General features: G+C 35.8%; 1 protein-coding gene across 2 annotated transcripts in view; it reads right to left on the bottom strand.

Annotated features, from left to right (window-relative positions):
- Positions 1-18391, bottom strand: part of SLC30A9 (solute carrier family 30 member 9) — a 99932-nt gene that overhangs the window by 66463 nt on the left and 15078 nt on the right. For both annotated transcript variants that reach the window (NM_006345.4, XM_047449525.1), the window contains exons 3-6: positions 5829-5888; positions 3484-3583; positions 1069-1161; positions 615-697 (exon numbers count right to left, since the gene is read on the bottom strand). In NM_006345.4, coding sequence (NP_006336.3) covers positions 615-697; positions 1069-1161; positions 3484-3583; positions 5829-5888 — 336 coding nt within the window. The remainder of the gene's footprint in view (positions 1-614; positions 698-1068; positions 1162-3483; positions 3584-5828; positions 5889-18391) is intronic.

The following is an 18391-nucleotide window of genomic DNA, read 5'->3' as shown; positions in this document are numbered from 1 at the left end:
ACAGGCCATGGTGGGAGGTGACTGGATCATGGGGATGGTCTCCCCCATACTGTTCTCATGATACTGAGTTCTCGAGATCTGATGGTTTTATAAGTGTTTGACAGTTCCTCCTACACACACGCTGTCTCTCGCCTGACACCATGTTAAGATGCGCCTGCTTCCCCTTGCGCCATGATTGTATGCTTCCTGAGGCCTCTCCAGCCATGCGGAACTGTGAGTCAGTTAAATCTCCTTTGTTTATAAACTACCCAGTCTTGGGTAGTATCTTTATAGCAGTGTGAAAACAGACTAATACAGCAATTACTTCCTATTCTATCACTTTTATAACAAGTATAATCTTTAAATCAGATAAGTTTTGATAGTTATATGTCTTATAAAAATGATAAACTGTAGCTTCTCTTCCTCTCATCATCTTCAAAAAGCTATACAGGAGAAAACAAAAATACAGTTCCTGTTTTTGTGAAATAATTGAATCCCAAAACGGAAACTAGCATTTGCTGGAAGCAACAGAGCCTAGGCCAACAGGTATGCTAGCACTAGAGAGTTCTTACAGATACAGTTCTCATCTACAAGTTATTTTTCAATTAACTTGACTTTAAATTGAATATACTTACTTTCTCTGTATTCTATTTCTGCTTCCTTACGCAATTTTTTCTCTCTGGCAAGAGCTTCAGGGCTTCCCCAAACTTCCAAAGATCTGTGCATACACACATGGTCACCACAATGAACAATTTTAATGACTTTATTGACATCACATTTAAATCTAAATTCTCTAATGAGAATCTTACAACAAAGTGTAAGGTGCTTTTGGAGAAACATAAAGGACTTAGGAACTTTTCCAAATGAAATCTAAACAACTAGAGTAAATTCAACAGCAAATTTTCTTACACATTATGACATATATTTAGTTAAGGAGTACATATTAGTAACTCACAAATAAACAGATTTGCAAATACAAAAATATTGTTTTTAAAAAGTCATTTAAAAAATTCTGACTCTGTCTAAAATGTATTTTTATTAATCCAAAATTTGGTTTGCACTTTTATTCTGAAAGAACTATGTTCTTACTTTGCTTCCACATCTGATCTCAAGTATACAGTAAAAGACTCAGTATCTTCATGGGGACTTCGTCGTCTGATTTTTCGAAGTTGTTCTAGATCACTAGAGAAAGAAACATGTTGAATTTATTCAGACAAAGTGCATATAGTTTATATACTTAAAGAGGATTACTAAGGGCAGATAAAAGCAACAACACTGATCCCCATCTTAGAGAAATATTGATGTGAATGGCTTTTAAAGATCAGTTTAAAGATGACATTTTGTATACAAAAAATAGAGACAGTGAAAAAAAATTACTCTTGATGCTCAGTGTAGACACCACAATATAATATGTAGAGATTCACTTCCCTCACCAGTACTTGTATTTGTATCTGCTATGGGCACACCACTGCCATCTCTAATATATGGGGAAAAAAGTGAAAAGTTAGGTAATGCGTGGTGGCTCACTCCCAGCGCTTTGAGAGGCCGAGGTGGGTGGTCAGGAGTTCGAGACCAGCCTGGTCAACATGGTGAAACCCCGTCTCTACTAAAAAAAAATACAAAAATTAGCTGGGTTTGGTGGTGCCTGCCTGTAATCCCAGCTACTCAGGAGGCTGAGGCAGAAGAATCACTTGAACCCGGGAGGCAGAGGTTACAGTGAGCCAAGATCACGCCACTGTACTTCGGCCTAGGAGATAAAGCAAAAAAAAAAAAAAGTGAAAAATAAGCAAGGTGCGGTAGCTCACACCTGTAATCCCAGCACTTTGGGAGGCTGAGGTGGGTGGATCACTTGATGTCAGGAGTTCGAGACTAGACTGTGCAACCTGCAAAACCCTGTCTCTACTAAAAATACAAAAATTAGCCGGGCGTGGTGGCGGGCGCCTGTAGTCCCAGCTACTCGGGAGGCTGAGGCAGGAGAATGGCGTGAACCCGGGAAGCGGAGCTTGCAGTGAGCCGAGATTGTGCCACTGCAGTCCGCAGTCCGGCCTGGGCAACAGAGCGAGACTCCGTCTCAAAAAAAAAAAAAAAAAAAAAAAAAAAAATTAGCCAGGCGTGGTGGCGCACAGCCATAGTCCCAGTTACTCAGGAGGCTGAGGTGGAAGAATCACTGGAGCCTAGGGAGGTAGAGGCTGCAGTAAGCCATGATTGTGCCACTGCACTCCAGCCTGGGCAGCAGAGTGAGACCCTGTCTCAAAAAAAAACAAACAAAAAAAACGAAAAGAAGAAAGAACATGGATTAGAATATCATCCCTCTACTTAAGAATTTAAGTTAAAAATTTACAGTCATTATTTGTTTATATGTAGATTAATACTAAGTGGTAATATCCATTCAAAGGAATGATGTCATAAAGAGTTTGTGTCAATTACATGTTATTTATTTTCCTTTCTCTTAAATTCTGAAAGGCTTATATATTCATCAAGTCACTGCTAAATAGTCATTCTATATTTAATCATGGATCTTCCTATGGAAATTTTGTTAAAGCAATGAAACAATCTATAAATAAAAAGTCTGTGACTATGTAATGTTATCAAGTTCTAGAAATTAAACCTAGATTTAAAAAACATCAATAACCATCACATGTTAGTAAAAATGTATGGATCAGCTTTCAAAAGATATATATTCTAGTTCTCCCTGTCACTGACTCACTTAAATGAGCTGGGTCAATCACTAACATCTTGTATTATGCTCATCCTGGTCTATTAAAGTGGAGACAGCAATGCCTAATCCACTTAATTCACAAAATTTGTGTCAGAACTAAATCAATATTATAATTGGTTGTTGATGTAATAGTTATAAAAGTTAAAAATTATAGGAATACCTATTTCTTGATATATACCAAAGTGGCTGTGACAATGAGGAAGACTGAAAAAAAGATAGATCATCTGATTTCTCTAATTCGTGCACAAAGGAGGGAGAAAAGTTTAAATCTGTGACTAACATAATTTCAATAAATATAAATATGAGAAAATTAATAATAACAGATATTGGAAAGTAGTAAAAATAATTTATACTCAACAGAAATCACAGTTGGGAGCATGAACATAAATTTAACTCACTAAATTAAGTACTCAACTCTGCTGGCCAAAAAACCAAAACAGTCAAACATACAAATACGCAAATAATCTTATTGAGAATTCTGTCACATACCAATGACTTAACAATTTAACTCCTAAGATTCTTGTGTGATGGAAAGCTTTTGAAGAATTTACCATTGTGGGTTTAAGAAACTAAGAAAGACTAGAATTGCTAATGCTGGGGCAGGATTCAGTTTAGTTTGCTAACAATTTTTAACATTTTTGACTGAATAAAAATATCTCTTCATTTTAAGGAGCCAGTAGCAAATTTTCCATATATGGATGGTAGCAGGTAACACACTCTAAGAAAGGAATAGTTATTTAGATTATTTAGATATGACACACGGCTACATTTTTTAAAAAAATTACCTGGATTTGAGGCAGAACTCATTTATCGCTCTGACTCCAGTGATGAAATTATTCTGAGTGTACTTTGAGCCATACTCCCTTTTCTTAAGGACTGCTTTAACTAAACAAAAAACAGGAAAACATAATAAATATGCACATTGAAAGTCACATGTGAAGATGAATATAGGCTGATACTTAAGAGGCTTCACTAATGAATTTCACAGAAAACTGATCTTTTTCACTGAATGACATCAGAGAAAAAATTATCCAAGTGCAGAATAGGATGAAATTGCATTTGTAGCCATCTAGCTTTTGTCTCTATATGTCATCTATAACTGATCCCAAAATGTCAACCTTTGTCTAATGAACACCTTGAACAGGTATTACTGGTCTGTCTAAATCATATTGGTATAATTTAAATTGCTTAGGGTCTAAATGAAAATGAACTGAAGTTTTGATAAAAAATTACAGAGTATTGGGAGGCCAAGGCAGGTGGATCACTTGAGGTCAAGAGTTTGAGACCAGCCTGGCCAACATGGTGAAACCCTGTCTCTACTAAAAAAAAAATACAAAAAATTGGCCAGGTGTGGTGGTGGGTGCCTGTAATCCCAGCTTCTCAGGAGGCTGAGGCATGAGAACCACTTGAACTTGGGAGGCAGAGGTTGCAGTGAGCCAGATCATGCCACTGCACTCCAGCCTGGGCTACAAAGTCAGACTCTGTCCAAAAAAAATAATAAATAAATAAATAAATAAAATAACAGAGTAGTTGAGTGCTTTTCAAACTGTGAGGTGAAATCAGCATTTCATACAAAGTAGAAATATAAAGTAATCAAAGACTACTACATATAATTATTTTTTTGTGAAAACCTTTGTTTCATTTACATATACTAATCTATGTGTATACTAGTTGCTAATTAGTATTTCTTATGTGGGTTACAGTCAAAAAAGTTTAAAGCCACTAGACCATTTCACATAATGTAATAAAACTGAAGAAAAGTACAGAATAATTTCATCAGTTAAAAATTACAAAAAAAATTATTATAGATTATAGGTTAAATATTGCCTTCTAATAAATTGTTTTTCTATTGTCAAGTATCAAACTGCTCATAAAAAGGCCAGCGACACCAATACCAATACCAATTTGGCATCAATTATAGTCTGTGAGTTAAAAATTACAGAACATTGGTCTATGTTAATAAATCATTATAAGGTGAGACTTTTGGTCATATGATAGAGATAAATAAGCAAATACCTGAAGTGCAAGAGCAAAATAACAAACTTATGTGTTCTATTTCGAATTGTCATCTATTCACTTCATGTTCTATTCTCATATTTATTATTTCACAATTTTCTGTTCTACTTCCAAGTTGAAAGAGCAAATTCAGCCTAAGATTACCTATCACTACAGTGGGTAAAAAGATTCCTAAAATAATACATACTTACATTAAATGCACAAATATTATGTAATAAGAATATTTGAAAAATAAAGTTCAATTAAAAAATCAAAACCTTATCTGAAAAAAAATATAAGGAAATACAGATTTTTTTTTTGCGTGAGTTTCATGTCTCTAAACCGCCTTTTAAATTTTTAAAAAATTTTTAAAAAAATTTCTTCCAAATAGCTAAAAAACCCTGGCCCAGGTTATTAATGATGAAGGTGAGGATGATAATGATAATGATGGCTGCTATAACAACATTAATTGTTATTAATTGTCTACCATGTGTTAATCAAAGTTACCCTAGAAAAGAAGTCTCATTTTCAGCACCACGTTATAGGGGAGAAAACTAAGCCTCAGAGAAGTCAAGTAAATTGCCCAAGGTCAGCCAGCTGGTAAGCACTGGAGCCACAAATTTAATCCAGTTTTATCTGATGCCAAAGCCACAGTGCTGTTAATCATAGAGTTGCTGCCTCCATGAAACAGCTGCTTTGGAGATGGGAACCACAGCTTGTTATACAGAAGAGAGCTACAAACAGGAATTCCTTCAATTTCTCCTAGAAAATAAAGTCAGACAATAACGGCCAAACTCTACCTGGATTTGAATAAGCAGTAGCTGAAAAGTGTGGGCCTCTTGTTCTTTAATTGCCTTACTCTTCTAAAAATGATAATGCAATTGATGATTCTTATTTGCCATTATTCCTTTCTTGGGCTTTTGAAAAAATTTGTGACAAAAATGCAAAATAAATTTAATAGAAAATTAGTTTATATGTAAGAGAATAAATCCTTATGGTCAATCTATTTAAATAAAAGTAAAAAATAAACTATACTCTTAGAATAATATAACTATAAAGAGCTCTACATAAACCAATGTTATATATTTAATTCAAAACATCTTTATAATACAAAAATAGGATAAAATATATTTACCTCTTACTTGGAGAGGTTCTTGCTTAAGTGGAGCTTTGAGTTCTGTGCCTATACCTTCTGCTGTAAAGTTTATTAAAAGAAGTTTACATTAAACAACTGCTTTCATAAATCTATAAACTTAATTAATATTAGCCAATGTAATATAGCAATGCATAAAAACGACAATGTATCAGACCATGTTGGATTCATCTTAAGAATGTAAGAGTAGTTAAACATTACAAAAGCTATTTATCTCATTAACAGATTAAAGAAGAGAAACTATACAATCATTTCAGAAGCTAAAGAAAAAGCATTTAATACAATTCAACATCCATGCAAATCTCAAACCCTTTTAGAAAATTAGGACAAATAGGAATTTCTTTAAAGGGTAAAACAAACCTACAACAAACATTGTCTTTAATGGTGAATGTTTAAATGCATTTTTAAATTAAGGAACAAAAGAATGCACAGTTCTTCTATTTAAAACTGTACCAGAGATACCATTCAATCAATAAAGAATGATTATTAAGTGGGACTGGGACAACTGTACAACCCTACACCTACCAAAAAACACATTAAATTTAAAAAATTTGAATCTACCTCCCACCATAAAGAAAAAACAATTACAGGTAGATTAATTAATTATTTAAATGTTAAGGTATTTACATGCCTTATAGTAGATAATACAGAATACTTTTATGGTACAGAAAGATTTCTTAAACAAGATATAAACAACACAAGAAAAACTGGATAAATTTCTGCCAAATTAAAACTCAGAAAAACTGTTCATCAAGTAATCCCATAAAAAAAAAAAAACAGAGAAAAAAGAAAGGCCGCAAACTGAGAGAAGATATTTCCAACAAATAGAATCAACAAAAGTAATCAAGAATATTTAAATAAGTCCTCTAGATCAAAAAAATGACAATCCATTAGAAAAAATAGGAAGGACAATCTTGCACAGAAAAGGATATACAAATAACCAATAAACATTTGAAAAAATGTCTGCCCCATTATTAATAGAATCCAAATGAAATCATAAGATGCTATTTTATAACCATCAGATCAAGAAAAAGGAAAATATGAGAATACCTAATGTTGGCAAGGGTATGGAACAATGAAAATGCATACACTGCTGGTGGAAATATAAATGGGCACAATACCTTGGTAAACAAGTTGGCATTATCTACTATAGTTGAACACAAGCATAATTTATGACCCAGCAATTCTTCTAGGTCAATATATTTGGCTTCAAGAAACTCTTGCACGAGGGCACAAGGACAGAGGTACATGAGTGTTCAGAGCAGGACTCTGTTCTGTTGTTGTAAACTGGCAACAACCCAAATGCCCATTAGCAAGAGAACAGATAGATAGATAGATAGATAGATAGATAGATAGACCATGTTATATTCACACAACATTTCATACAGCAGTGCATAGTAACAAACATAATAATGGCCATCTTTCTTTGAGCTTTTACTGTGTGCTAAGTACTACTCTAAGCATGTATCAACTCATTTAACTCATACAACATCCCTGAACAGTATGTGCTATAATTATCTCCAAGAACATTAATGAACCAGACACACACACCAATCAATAAGATAAATCTTAGCAACTAAATTTAATGAAAAAAGTAAATCACAAAAGAATATATACAATAAGCTATCACAACGAAGTTCACAAACAAGCAAAAGTAAATAATCAGGGCTATATACAAATGTATAAAGCTATTTCCTCTTTTTTTTCACATGGATACATAGGACAAATGGAGATAGGAGGATGTGATCAAGACAGTGAAGTTCTTAGCTTGAGTAGTAAATTCCAAGGTTTGATTTTATTATGTTGTTAACTTACATATGTATTATAATATCCTTTTGTATGTATCAAATATATTGTAAAAATCTCACCCTTAAAACATTTTCCATTATATTTATATCCTCATTCAATAACATTTCAGAGTTTATGAAGAATGGCTATATATACTAAGCATTTAACATGTGCCATGTACTGTCCTATGCACTTTACAAATTATTTCATTTAATTGTCACAAAATTGCTCTGAGGAAAATACTATTATCTTCATCTTATGAGAAAACTGAGGCACAGAGATTATTATAACTTCCCCCAAAGTCACAGAGCCAGTTTTCCTTGTTATGAGGAAACTGGGGCATAGAAAGGTTTTGTAAATTCTCCCAAAGTCACGCAGCTAGTATTTTAAACATGGAGGCACAGTTATTTTGATTACTCTACACTCTTAACCACCTTCCTGTATTGCCTGTGTTTAGAACAATATTTAATTTTATGTGTAGGTATTTGTGTATTTTTCTAGGTGGTAAAAAAAAGAATAGATACTAGATTACCAACATGAAGATCACTGGAACCTCCTGAAAACAGCAGTTTCTGGACAAGAATGGGAATGGACACAATAGTTGAGGAGAAAATAGGAGATTAAATGGAAGCGGTATTTGGACTTTCAGCAGGAGCTGAAGAGAATGAATCAAGGAAAGGTTGACTGCATTTTACATAGAGATAGGAATGATGCAATAACCACGAAGAAAATATAAAGTAGGCTAACAGGATAATCCCAAAAGCAAAGTCCTTGAGCAGATGGGGTAGTAGGGGATCCAGAATATAAGTCTCTGAAAACATGGAATGAAACAGAAATTAACTAATTCCACATATTTAGATTATGAGTTCATTTAAATGATATGGAACACCACTAAGTCTGACTACTTAACTGTGGTACATTTGTACTTCTGCCATCTTATTGTTTTCAGTTTACCATCTTGTTTTCTTTGCTTTTATTTTTATTTCGCTTTTCCTGCCGTCTCCATCTCTTAGATTGAAAAAGTTTTCTATATTCGCCTCCCATCCAATCCCCCAATTGCTATTTGGAATTTATAAGACTGTATTTCTATTGTTTAACATTATTTTTCTTTAAAAAAAACTTTTTATTATTTTTTGGGTTTTTGTTTAAATTTGCTTTTATATTTTAATTTTTTATGGGTACACATTAAACATTTATGGGGTACATGAGGTATTTTGAAACAGGCATACAAAGTGTAATAATCATATCAGGGTAAATGGAGCATCGATCATCTCAAATATTTATCGTTTGTGTTACAAAGAACCCAATTATACTCTTTTAGTTATTTTTAAATGTACAATAAATTATCGCTGACTGTAGTCACCCTGTTGTGCTATCAAATACTAGCTCTTATTCATTCTATCTAACTGCAGTTTTGTACCCATTAACCATCCTCACTCTCCACCTCCCACTATTCTTCCCAGCCCCTAGTAACCATCATTCTACTCTCTCTCTCTCCATGAATTTACTTGTTTTAATTTTAGCTCCATAAATAAGTGAGAACGTGCTGTTTTTCTTTCTGTGCCTGCCTTATTTCACTTAACGTAACAACCTCCAGTTCCATCCGTATTGCTGCAAATGACAGGATCTCATTCTTTTTTATGCTTAAATAATACTCCATTGTATATATAGACCATATCTTCTTTATCCATTCATTTGCTGATGGACACTTAGCTTGCTTCCAAACCTTGGCTATTGTGAACAGTGCTGCAATAAACATGGGAATGCAGATAGCTCTTCTGATATACCGATTTCCTTTTTTTTTTTTTTGCGACGGAGTCTCGCTCTGTCGCCAGGCTGGAGTGCAGCAGCACGATCTCAGCTCACTGCAACCTCCGCCTCCTGGGTTCAAGCAATTCTCCTGCCTCAGCCTCCCGAGTAGCTGGGACTACAGGCACATGCCACCACACCCAGCTAATTTTTTTGTATGTTTTCCTTTCTTTTGGGAATATACCTAGCAGTGGGATTGCTGGTAGTTCTATTTTTGGTTTTTTGAGGGTCCTCCAAATTGTTCTTCATAGTAGCTGCACTAATTTACATTCCCACCAACAATGTACAAGGGTTCCCTTTTCTCCACATGTTCACTAGCATTTGTTATTGCCTGTCTTTTGGATAAAAGCCTTTTGAACTGGAGTGAGATGATATCTTATTATAGTTTTGATTTGCACTTCTCTGATGATCAATGATGTTAAGCACTTTTTCATACACCTTTTTTTGCCACTTGCATGTCTTCTTTTGAAAACGTCTCTTGAGATATTTTGTCCACATTTTAATCAGATTATTAGATTTTTCCCCCATAGAGTTATTTAAGCTTCTTATATATTCTGGTGAGATCAATAGTTTGCAAATACTTTCTCCCATTTTATGGGTTGTCTCTTCATTTTGTTGACTGTTTCCTTTGTTGTGCAGAAGCCTTTTAACTTAATGTGATCCCATTTGTCCATTTTTGCTCTGGTTGCCTGTGCTTGTGGGATCTAACTCAAGAAATCTGCCCAGTCCAATATCCTGGAGAGTTTCCCCAATGTTTTCTTTAAATAGTTTCATCATTTGAGGTCTTAGATTTCAGTCTTTACTCCATTTTGATTTGATTTTTGTAAATGGCGAGAGAAGGGGTCTAGTTTCATGCTTCTGCATATGGATATCCAGTTTTCCCCAGCACCATTTACTGAATAGACAGTCCTTTCCCCAATGTATGTTTTTGGCACATCTGTTGAAAATGAGCTCACTGTATATCTATGGATTCACTTATGGGCTCTGTATTCTGTTCCATTGGTTTATGTGTCTGTCTTTATAACAGTAAAACAGCATAAAGGATTTAGGTTTAGTAACCTAAACCTATGCTGTTTAGATTATTAAAGCCCTGTAGTATAATTTGAAATCTGGTAATATTCCTCCACAGTTTTTTTCTTGTTGCCCAGAAAGCAAAGGTGGGTAGGGGGTGATTTGCAGTAGTATCTGAGAAAGAGTAAGACGAAAAATAAATGTTACTCTAGAATTTCATAGTGATCTAAATGTCTTCCATCATACTATTATTATTATTTTTTTAGGAGTCAGGATCTTGCTATGTCACCCAGGCTGTAGTGCAGTGGTGAGATCATAGCTCACTGCCACCTCCAACTCCTGGGCTCAAGTGATCCCACCTCAGCTTCTCTAGTAGCTGGGACCAGAGGTGAACACTATCACATCAAAGTTAATTTTTAAATTTTTTGTAGAGATGAAGTCTCACTATGTTGCCCAGACTGGTCTCAAACTCCTGGGCTCAAGTGATCCTCCCACCTCAGCTTCTCAAAGTGCTCAGAGTACAGGCCTGAGTCACTGAGCCTGGTTATAGTATCAGGCCTCAGCCACTGAGCCTGGTTGATTATAGTTTTAGCATTTAATATTAAAAAAAAGTTTACTGTTTTATTATCAATAGTTTTACCAGGACATTTTATCCATTTCTTGTTCTTTGTTGTCTCTTGGATATTTCATCCTTTCCCTTCTGTAACTCCAGGTTTCTTCTGCATCTTGCAGAAGTACATGCTTTAATAGTTTTTTTTGTTTGTTTGTTTTTTAATGTGGAGGGGTTGTTTAGTAAAATGACTCTCATCTTTGAGAGATGAAGATGGTTAATGGATTAAAAAAATAGAAAAAGATCTACTATTTGATAGCACAATAGGGTGACTATAGTCAGTAATAACTTAATTGTATATTTTAAAATAACTTACAGAATGTAATTGGTTTATAAACCAAAGGATAAATACTTGAGGGGATGGATACCCCATTCTCCATCACGCGCTTATTTCACATTGCATGCCCGTATCACAACATCTCATGTACTCCATATATACACCTACTATGTACCTCCCAAAATTTTAGAAAATAAGCTTTTTTTAAAATGACATTCATCTTTATATGTATGATAACATTCCTATTTTTGCCTTCACTCTACAATGATTATTTAGATCACTATGAAATTCCAGAGTAGCATTTATTTTTCCTCTTACTCTTTCCTGGATATTATTCCAAATCACTCCCCCATCTTTGCTTTCTGCATATTTTTGCAGGTAAAAAGTCTACTTCAGTAGAACAACAATTAGGCTGATAGTATTCTGATTTTTCTCTTTGTCAGCTTTTAAGTTGGGTTGTTTCGTGTTTTGGTTTTTAAATCTGTGGTGTCTCTACAAAGTGTCAGGGGTAGATTTCTTTTTATTTATCCTGCTTGGTACTCAAAACATATTTCTGATCTGAGAAGTCCTGTTTTTCTCAAATTCTGAAAAATTCTCATCTCTCTTTATATATTGATTCCTCACCATTTCTCTACCTATTAAATGTAGGCTAGAGCTGCAAGTTCTTAAATGCTTTCAATTTTTGGAATATCTTTTTGCCTTCCTATGTGCCTTCAGACTGAATTTGAATTTACTAACTCTCCTACTGACAATGACTATTTAGTCTACTACATTTTTACTTTAGTGGCTACACTTTCATTTCTAAGATTTCTAATTGTCTCCTTTTCCTAATTATTTGCTCTGGTTTTATTTCTGCAAGTTTGTGTTTCAAAATTCCCTGTCATTTTTAATGAATATGAGTCCTTCATTTAACCTTTTGAGAACATTAAACTTATTTTAAAGCAATTGAAGCTGTTATTTTAGCTTCAACTGGAATTAATTCACATTTATTGATTCTATTGGCTTTCGTAGCATTAGGATTCTTCATGTATTTTGAAATTTTAGAGTTCACCATCTTACCCTGAATAGGGTATATCCTTTCATTCTCCTCTTCACATTCTTGTGCTCAGAGTTCATTCTAATACCTCTATGCAAAACTCATATTGCCAGTTTGATCTCATATTGCCAGTTTGAAATTCCTTCCCCTCAATCCAGTCTCTAAGCCAGGAAACAGCAAGTTTCAGTTCCTGGTTGATATGGTTTGGCTCTGTGTCCCCATCCAAATCTCACCTTGAATTATAATCCCCATAATCCCCATGTGTCAAGGGCAGGACCAGGAGGAGGTAATCAGATCACGCAGCAGTTTCCCCCATGCTGTTCTCATGATAGTGAGTGAATCTCACCAGATCTGATGGTTTTATAAGTGTCTTGCATTTCCCCTGTTTGCACTTATTCTCTCTCCTGCCACCCTGTGAAGAGGTGCCTTCTGCCACATGAGGCCTCTCCAGTCATATGGAACTGTGAGTCAATTAAACCTCTTTTCTTCATAAATTACCCAGGCTCAGGTATTTCCTCATAGCAGCATGAAAATGGACTAGTACACTGGTCTTCTCCTTGCCTCCCTAGGCCTACAGCTTCCTGTAAGACACAGCCTCAGGTAGCAACTGGAATTAGCTATTTTCAGTCTCCTTCTGTGGGGGTGGGTGGATAAGTTCAAATAGTGAGTCTGACTCCAGTACCTTGCTATTCAAATAGCACATGTAGCATATTACTCCAAACAAGCCAAACTCCTAGCTGCCACTCCCAGATTACAGACCCAGAGTCCAGATGCTTCTGTTCCATTTCTTTGATATAACATGTCTTTTTTTAGTCCAACTATGTCTTCAATTTTCTCTTTTTATACTTTATCTATTATTCCAATGAGTGGTTAGTAGAACACATGCCTCAAAGTATGTATTCACAATACCACTGTGATCAGAAGTTCTGCCTATCCATTGAGTTACCTCTTTCAAAGCTTATATGAAGCAATTAAATGCCAATATATTAAGCACTAACAAAAGCAAAGCCCTATTTGAAATAAAAGCAAAATATTTTACAGGTAATTTTTAGTATATTTCTTGGCAATTGTTTTTCAGTGAAAACCACTAGGAAAATGACCAAATACTGTGTGTGTGTTTATTTTATTTTATTTTATTTTATTTTGAGACAGGATCTTGCTGTGTCGCCCAGGCTGGAGTGTAGTGGCACAATCAGGGCTCACTGCAGCCTCAACCTGTTGGGCTCAAGTGATCCTCCCGTCTCGGCCTCCCAAGTAGCTGGGACTACAAGCACATGCCACCACACCTGGATAATTCTTTTATTTTTTGTAGAGACAGGGTCTCCCTCCCCATGTTACCCAGGCTGGTCTCAAACTCCTGACCTCAAGGGATCCTTCACCTTGGCCTCCCAAAGTGCTAGATTACAGGTGTGAGCCACTTCACTTGACCAAAATACAGTACGTTTTGATACCTAAAGCATGTACAGAAAATCTAAAAAGGCTTTAAGTGTTTGCCAAATCCTAAGTAGGTTATGATGTCATACTAGTAAATTGAAGATAAGCTTAAAAACACTTCTATTTAGTAACTACATTTGACCTTAAAAAATTAAATTATTATGATTTTATTTTTGTCTCGCTACACAGCAAGCAAATTCTAAAGTATCTTTATCTATAGAACCTACACATCCATTTCTTACAATTTAGCTTTGGGAAACAGAGAGCAGGGCAGAGAGGAGTGAAGGGAAAAAGGTGGAATAATACATTTTCAAAACTTACCTAATGTCCAAACAACTGATATCTACTGTCAAAAGTTTCAGAAACAACCCTAGTTTCTACAATGCTCAACATTATTGAACTTAATCACATAAAATGAGTTGCTTTAAGCTGTATATTTCTGGATATTCTTCTCACTACAAACTGTCTAGATGTTACTAAATATATAGTGTTATACAGCACAAACAAGAATGCTAGTAAATGGCTTAAACACATGTATGAATACTTATTTTACATAGCACCAACTTAATAAACTCACACTGCATCACTGCAGTAGAATCTTTATGATTTCAATCAGTAACCAAACATTCTATCCATGAATATCGCTAGACATTTGTTTTAAGCTCAAACCCTGGCTGTTTGCCACACATCTGCTGTCATTAGCAAAATTAAAACTAATTTTACTAAAATTTAACAAATCTGAATGCTCCTTAAAAACTTAAGGATTCCTTAGCAAGTCTCTGCTTCTTAATGAGCTGTTCCTGACTTTATCATGTGATTTGAATTATTCAAAACTCAATCTCAAATCTTTAAATATACAAATTATCTTTCAATCAAGCAATTACTTGCACTCTGTCTGATGGCTAACAAGGTCTAATGTGGCCTAAGCAAGTACTGAAAAATTGAGCCCAAAATAAAACTGTCAATAAACAATGTATTTCTAATATAAGAAAATAAACTAACATTTTTATTCCAGTCAGCAGAGAAAAAAGAAACTTAATCATGGATTTCAATTTGAAAGATTCTGAATGGTGGAACCATATTAAATATTTTCCCCTGAGTCTGTGTTCACCTCTGCAGAGCATTGTAACATATTTTACCCTTAATTATATTATTTCATCACTATTTCTTTTCCCTTAACTGTGTTCTAATAAACATGCTTATTTCTGGAACTTAGGGACTCATTACACTCTGCATTCTTTCATTGCATAAAATCAAACTCTCAATCAATATTTACCCCAGCAGTTCTCCATCACCACAAAAGAAAGAGAAGAAATTGCACAGGTAAACCCAAAGGGAGGATGAGGCTTAGGAAAAAGAATGAAAACAAGGAGCCATTAAATGTATACAGGTTTCTCAAGGAATCTGTAAAATCTTCCCCTGTGAAAGACATCTAACTAAAGGAAAAATGGTCTTGAAATGTTTATTATTCTTCAAACACTGTCTTCTCCTGACACCAGATAGTCTGGATTTTCTCCAGCCACTCCTTCTCAAGTCTGCTTTGCAGGCTCCTCTTCTACCTGTCCCTCACCCATGTGGGGGATTTTGTACTAGAAGATCTCTCCTCACTCTAAACACTGTCCCTGCACTGTCCCAAACAGACCCATGGCTTCAGTTCCATCTATGTATAGGTAAAAACTCCTAAATCTTTAGTTCCAGGTTAGAACTCTAAGCATTCACTCACTTATAAATATTTATTATGTCCCTACTATCAGCAAGACACTGAGGTTCATGCTGTCATGGAGCTTGCAAACATGTAGGTGATGAGGAAATAAAATATGGAAAACATCAATCAGGAGTAAGTGCTACCTATGCCAAAAATTAAATTAGGGTAGTATTAAAGACTTACTGGGTGGCTACTTTAGGTTGAGTGATTTTAAAATGTCTCTATGCAGAGCTGACATTTAAACTGAGATATGAATGACCAGAAGAGGCTGAGCCATGTGGAGAAGGGCACCTTGGAAAGAGAACGCAACTAGAGCAAAGGCCCTATAACAACAAGCTTGCCATTTTCTCCGAACCAAAAGGAGAGTGCTTTGGCTGAAACATAATGAACAAGCAAGAGAGTAGCAGAAGAAAATAAAGAGGAATACGGAAGCCAGATCAGCTAGAAAGAACTTTGAGAGTCAGAATAGTAAATTTTAATTTTATTCTAGCAGTCTTGGCTTTGTTCTATGGGTAACTAGAAGCCAATGGAGAGTTTTAATTAAAAAAGTGACATGATCTGTTTTTAAAAAGACCACACTTGTTACGTGAAAAATGAACTACAGAAGGACAAGAATGGAAGCAGAGATCCCAGGGAGAATACTACCACAGTAAATCAGACAAGAGATAATGATATCTTGAAGTAGGATAGTAGTTGTGTTAAGATGTGTGACATCTTTTGTTTTTTGAGATGGAGTCTTGCTCTGTCGCCCAGGCTGGAGTGCAGTGGCGCGATCTCAGCTCACTGCAACCTCTCCCTCCTGGGTTCGAGCGATTCTCCTGCCTCAGCCTCCCGAGTAGCTGGGACTACAGGTGCGTGCCACCATGCCCGGCTCCGGCTAATTTTTTGTATTTTTAGTAGAGATGGGGTTTCACCGGGTTAGCCAGGATGGTCTTGATCTCATGACCTCGTGATCAGCCTGCCTCGGCCTCCCAAAGTGCTGAGATTACAGGCATGAGCCACTGCACCCGACCTGATGTGTGACATTTTAACAGACGATGCAGTGACTAGTAGATTCACTGGATAACCAACTGCCTATTGGTCACTGCATCATCTGTTAAGACCTTCCATAGGCACCTATAATTCAGATGTGCAAACCAAGCCATCATCTCATTAAAATATACTCCAGCTCTGGTACTCCTAATTTTAGAAATCAATGAAATCATCTAGACAGCTGGCCAAACAGTAACCAAGCATTGCCCTTGGCTTGACCCTCTTCTTCATCCCCCAGATTCAATTACTAAGTCCTAATTATTCAGCTCCTAGATCTCTTAAGGTCATCTACTCCTTTAAAAAAAAGCATTATTATTACCCTACTCCAGACCTTCATTTGTACTACTACTTTCAATCTCCCTCCTTTGCAACCTGTTTGACATTTTGCAACTAGTTATCTTTCTAAAACCTTAAATCTGATCAAGTACCTCCCCTACTTGTATTAATAATACTCTGTTATTCCCACTACCTACAAAACAAAGTCCAAACTCCCAAACAAGACCCCGATCTGACTAGTGCTTAACTCTTGCCATTTTCTCAGAACATGGCTGAGAAAAAGGGAGACTGCTTTGGCTGAAACATAGTGAGCAAGCAAGAGAGCAGTAGAAAAAAATTAAAAGGAATATGGAAGCTGGATCACCGTCTCTTGTACTTTCAACACTACCAACCCCACCGCCAAATCCTCTACTCACTATTCCAGGAATTTTACCTCCTTTTTCCACCATTCACCACACATCCATACCTACTTTTTTTTTTTTTTTTTTGAGACAGGGTCTCACTCTGTTGCCCAGGCTAGAGTGCAGTGGCACTATCATGGCTCACTGCAACCTTGACTTCTCAGGCTAAGGTGACCCTCCTACCTCAACATCTTGAGTAGCTGGGACTATAGGTGCACACCACTATGCCCAGCTAATTTTTGTATCTTTTGTAGAGACAGAGTTTCACCACGTTGCTCAGGCTGGTCTCGAACTCCTGGGCTCAAGTGATCCACACACTTGGTCTCCCAAAGTGCTAGAATTTCAGGTGTGAGCCACCACACCTGGCCAATACCTACTTTTCTTTCATGTCTCCAAGGAGGTATCATTTCCTTATGGAAATCTTTCCTAACCACTCAAGACTCAGTTAAGTGCCTCTCCTATGTGCCCCTGCAGCACCATTAATGAATTTCCCCTATCACAGTATGGTTATCCCTCAGTATTTGTTGGGGATTGGTTCCAGGACCTCCCTGTAGATACCAAAATCCATGGATGCTCAAGTCCATCTTATAAAATGGTGCAGTATTTGCATATAACCTATGCACATCCTCCCATGTACTTTAAATCATCTCTAGATTACTTATAATACCGAATTCAATGCAAATGCTAAGTAAACCGTTGTTACACTGTATTGTTTAGGAAATAATGACAAGAAAAAAATGTCTGTATATGTTCAGTACAGATGCAGCCATCCATTTTCCCCCCAAATCTTTTAATCCTTGTTTGGTTGAATCCACAGATGCTGAACACATGAATACAGGGCTAAATGTTACAATACAATATTTGTTTGCTTAATTTTCTGCTTTAGTAATCAACTCTGAGTCATTCTCATTTGCTGCCATATAAAAAGTGCTCAATAAATATTTCTTGAGTAAATTAATGAATAAATGAATAAAGGACTTCCTTTAATGCTTCCTTTTATTGTACCCCAAGCAAAATCTTTTTAAATGCATTGTTAGTCTAGCAAAAAATGATACGAAAAGGCCAAAAATGAAGTGAAAGCAGAATCTCTACAGAACAAATGAACATATCAAAGCCAGCTTTCCCCGGATTTCTATTGAAGCTTGGATTCTTTGAGCTTATTTCTA

The sequence above is a fragment of the Homo sapiens genome, chromosome 4, assembly GCF_000001405.40.
Source record: "Homo sapiens chromosome 4, GRCh38.p14 Primary Assembly".
Taxonomy (NCBI): Eukaryota; Metazoa; Chordata; class Mammalia; order Primates; family Hominidae; genus Homo; species Homo sapiens.
Note: the sequence above shows the minus strand (reverse complement) of the source record. Positions and strands in the feature narration are given on the sequence as shown.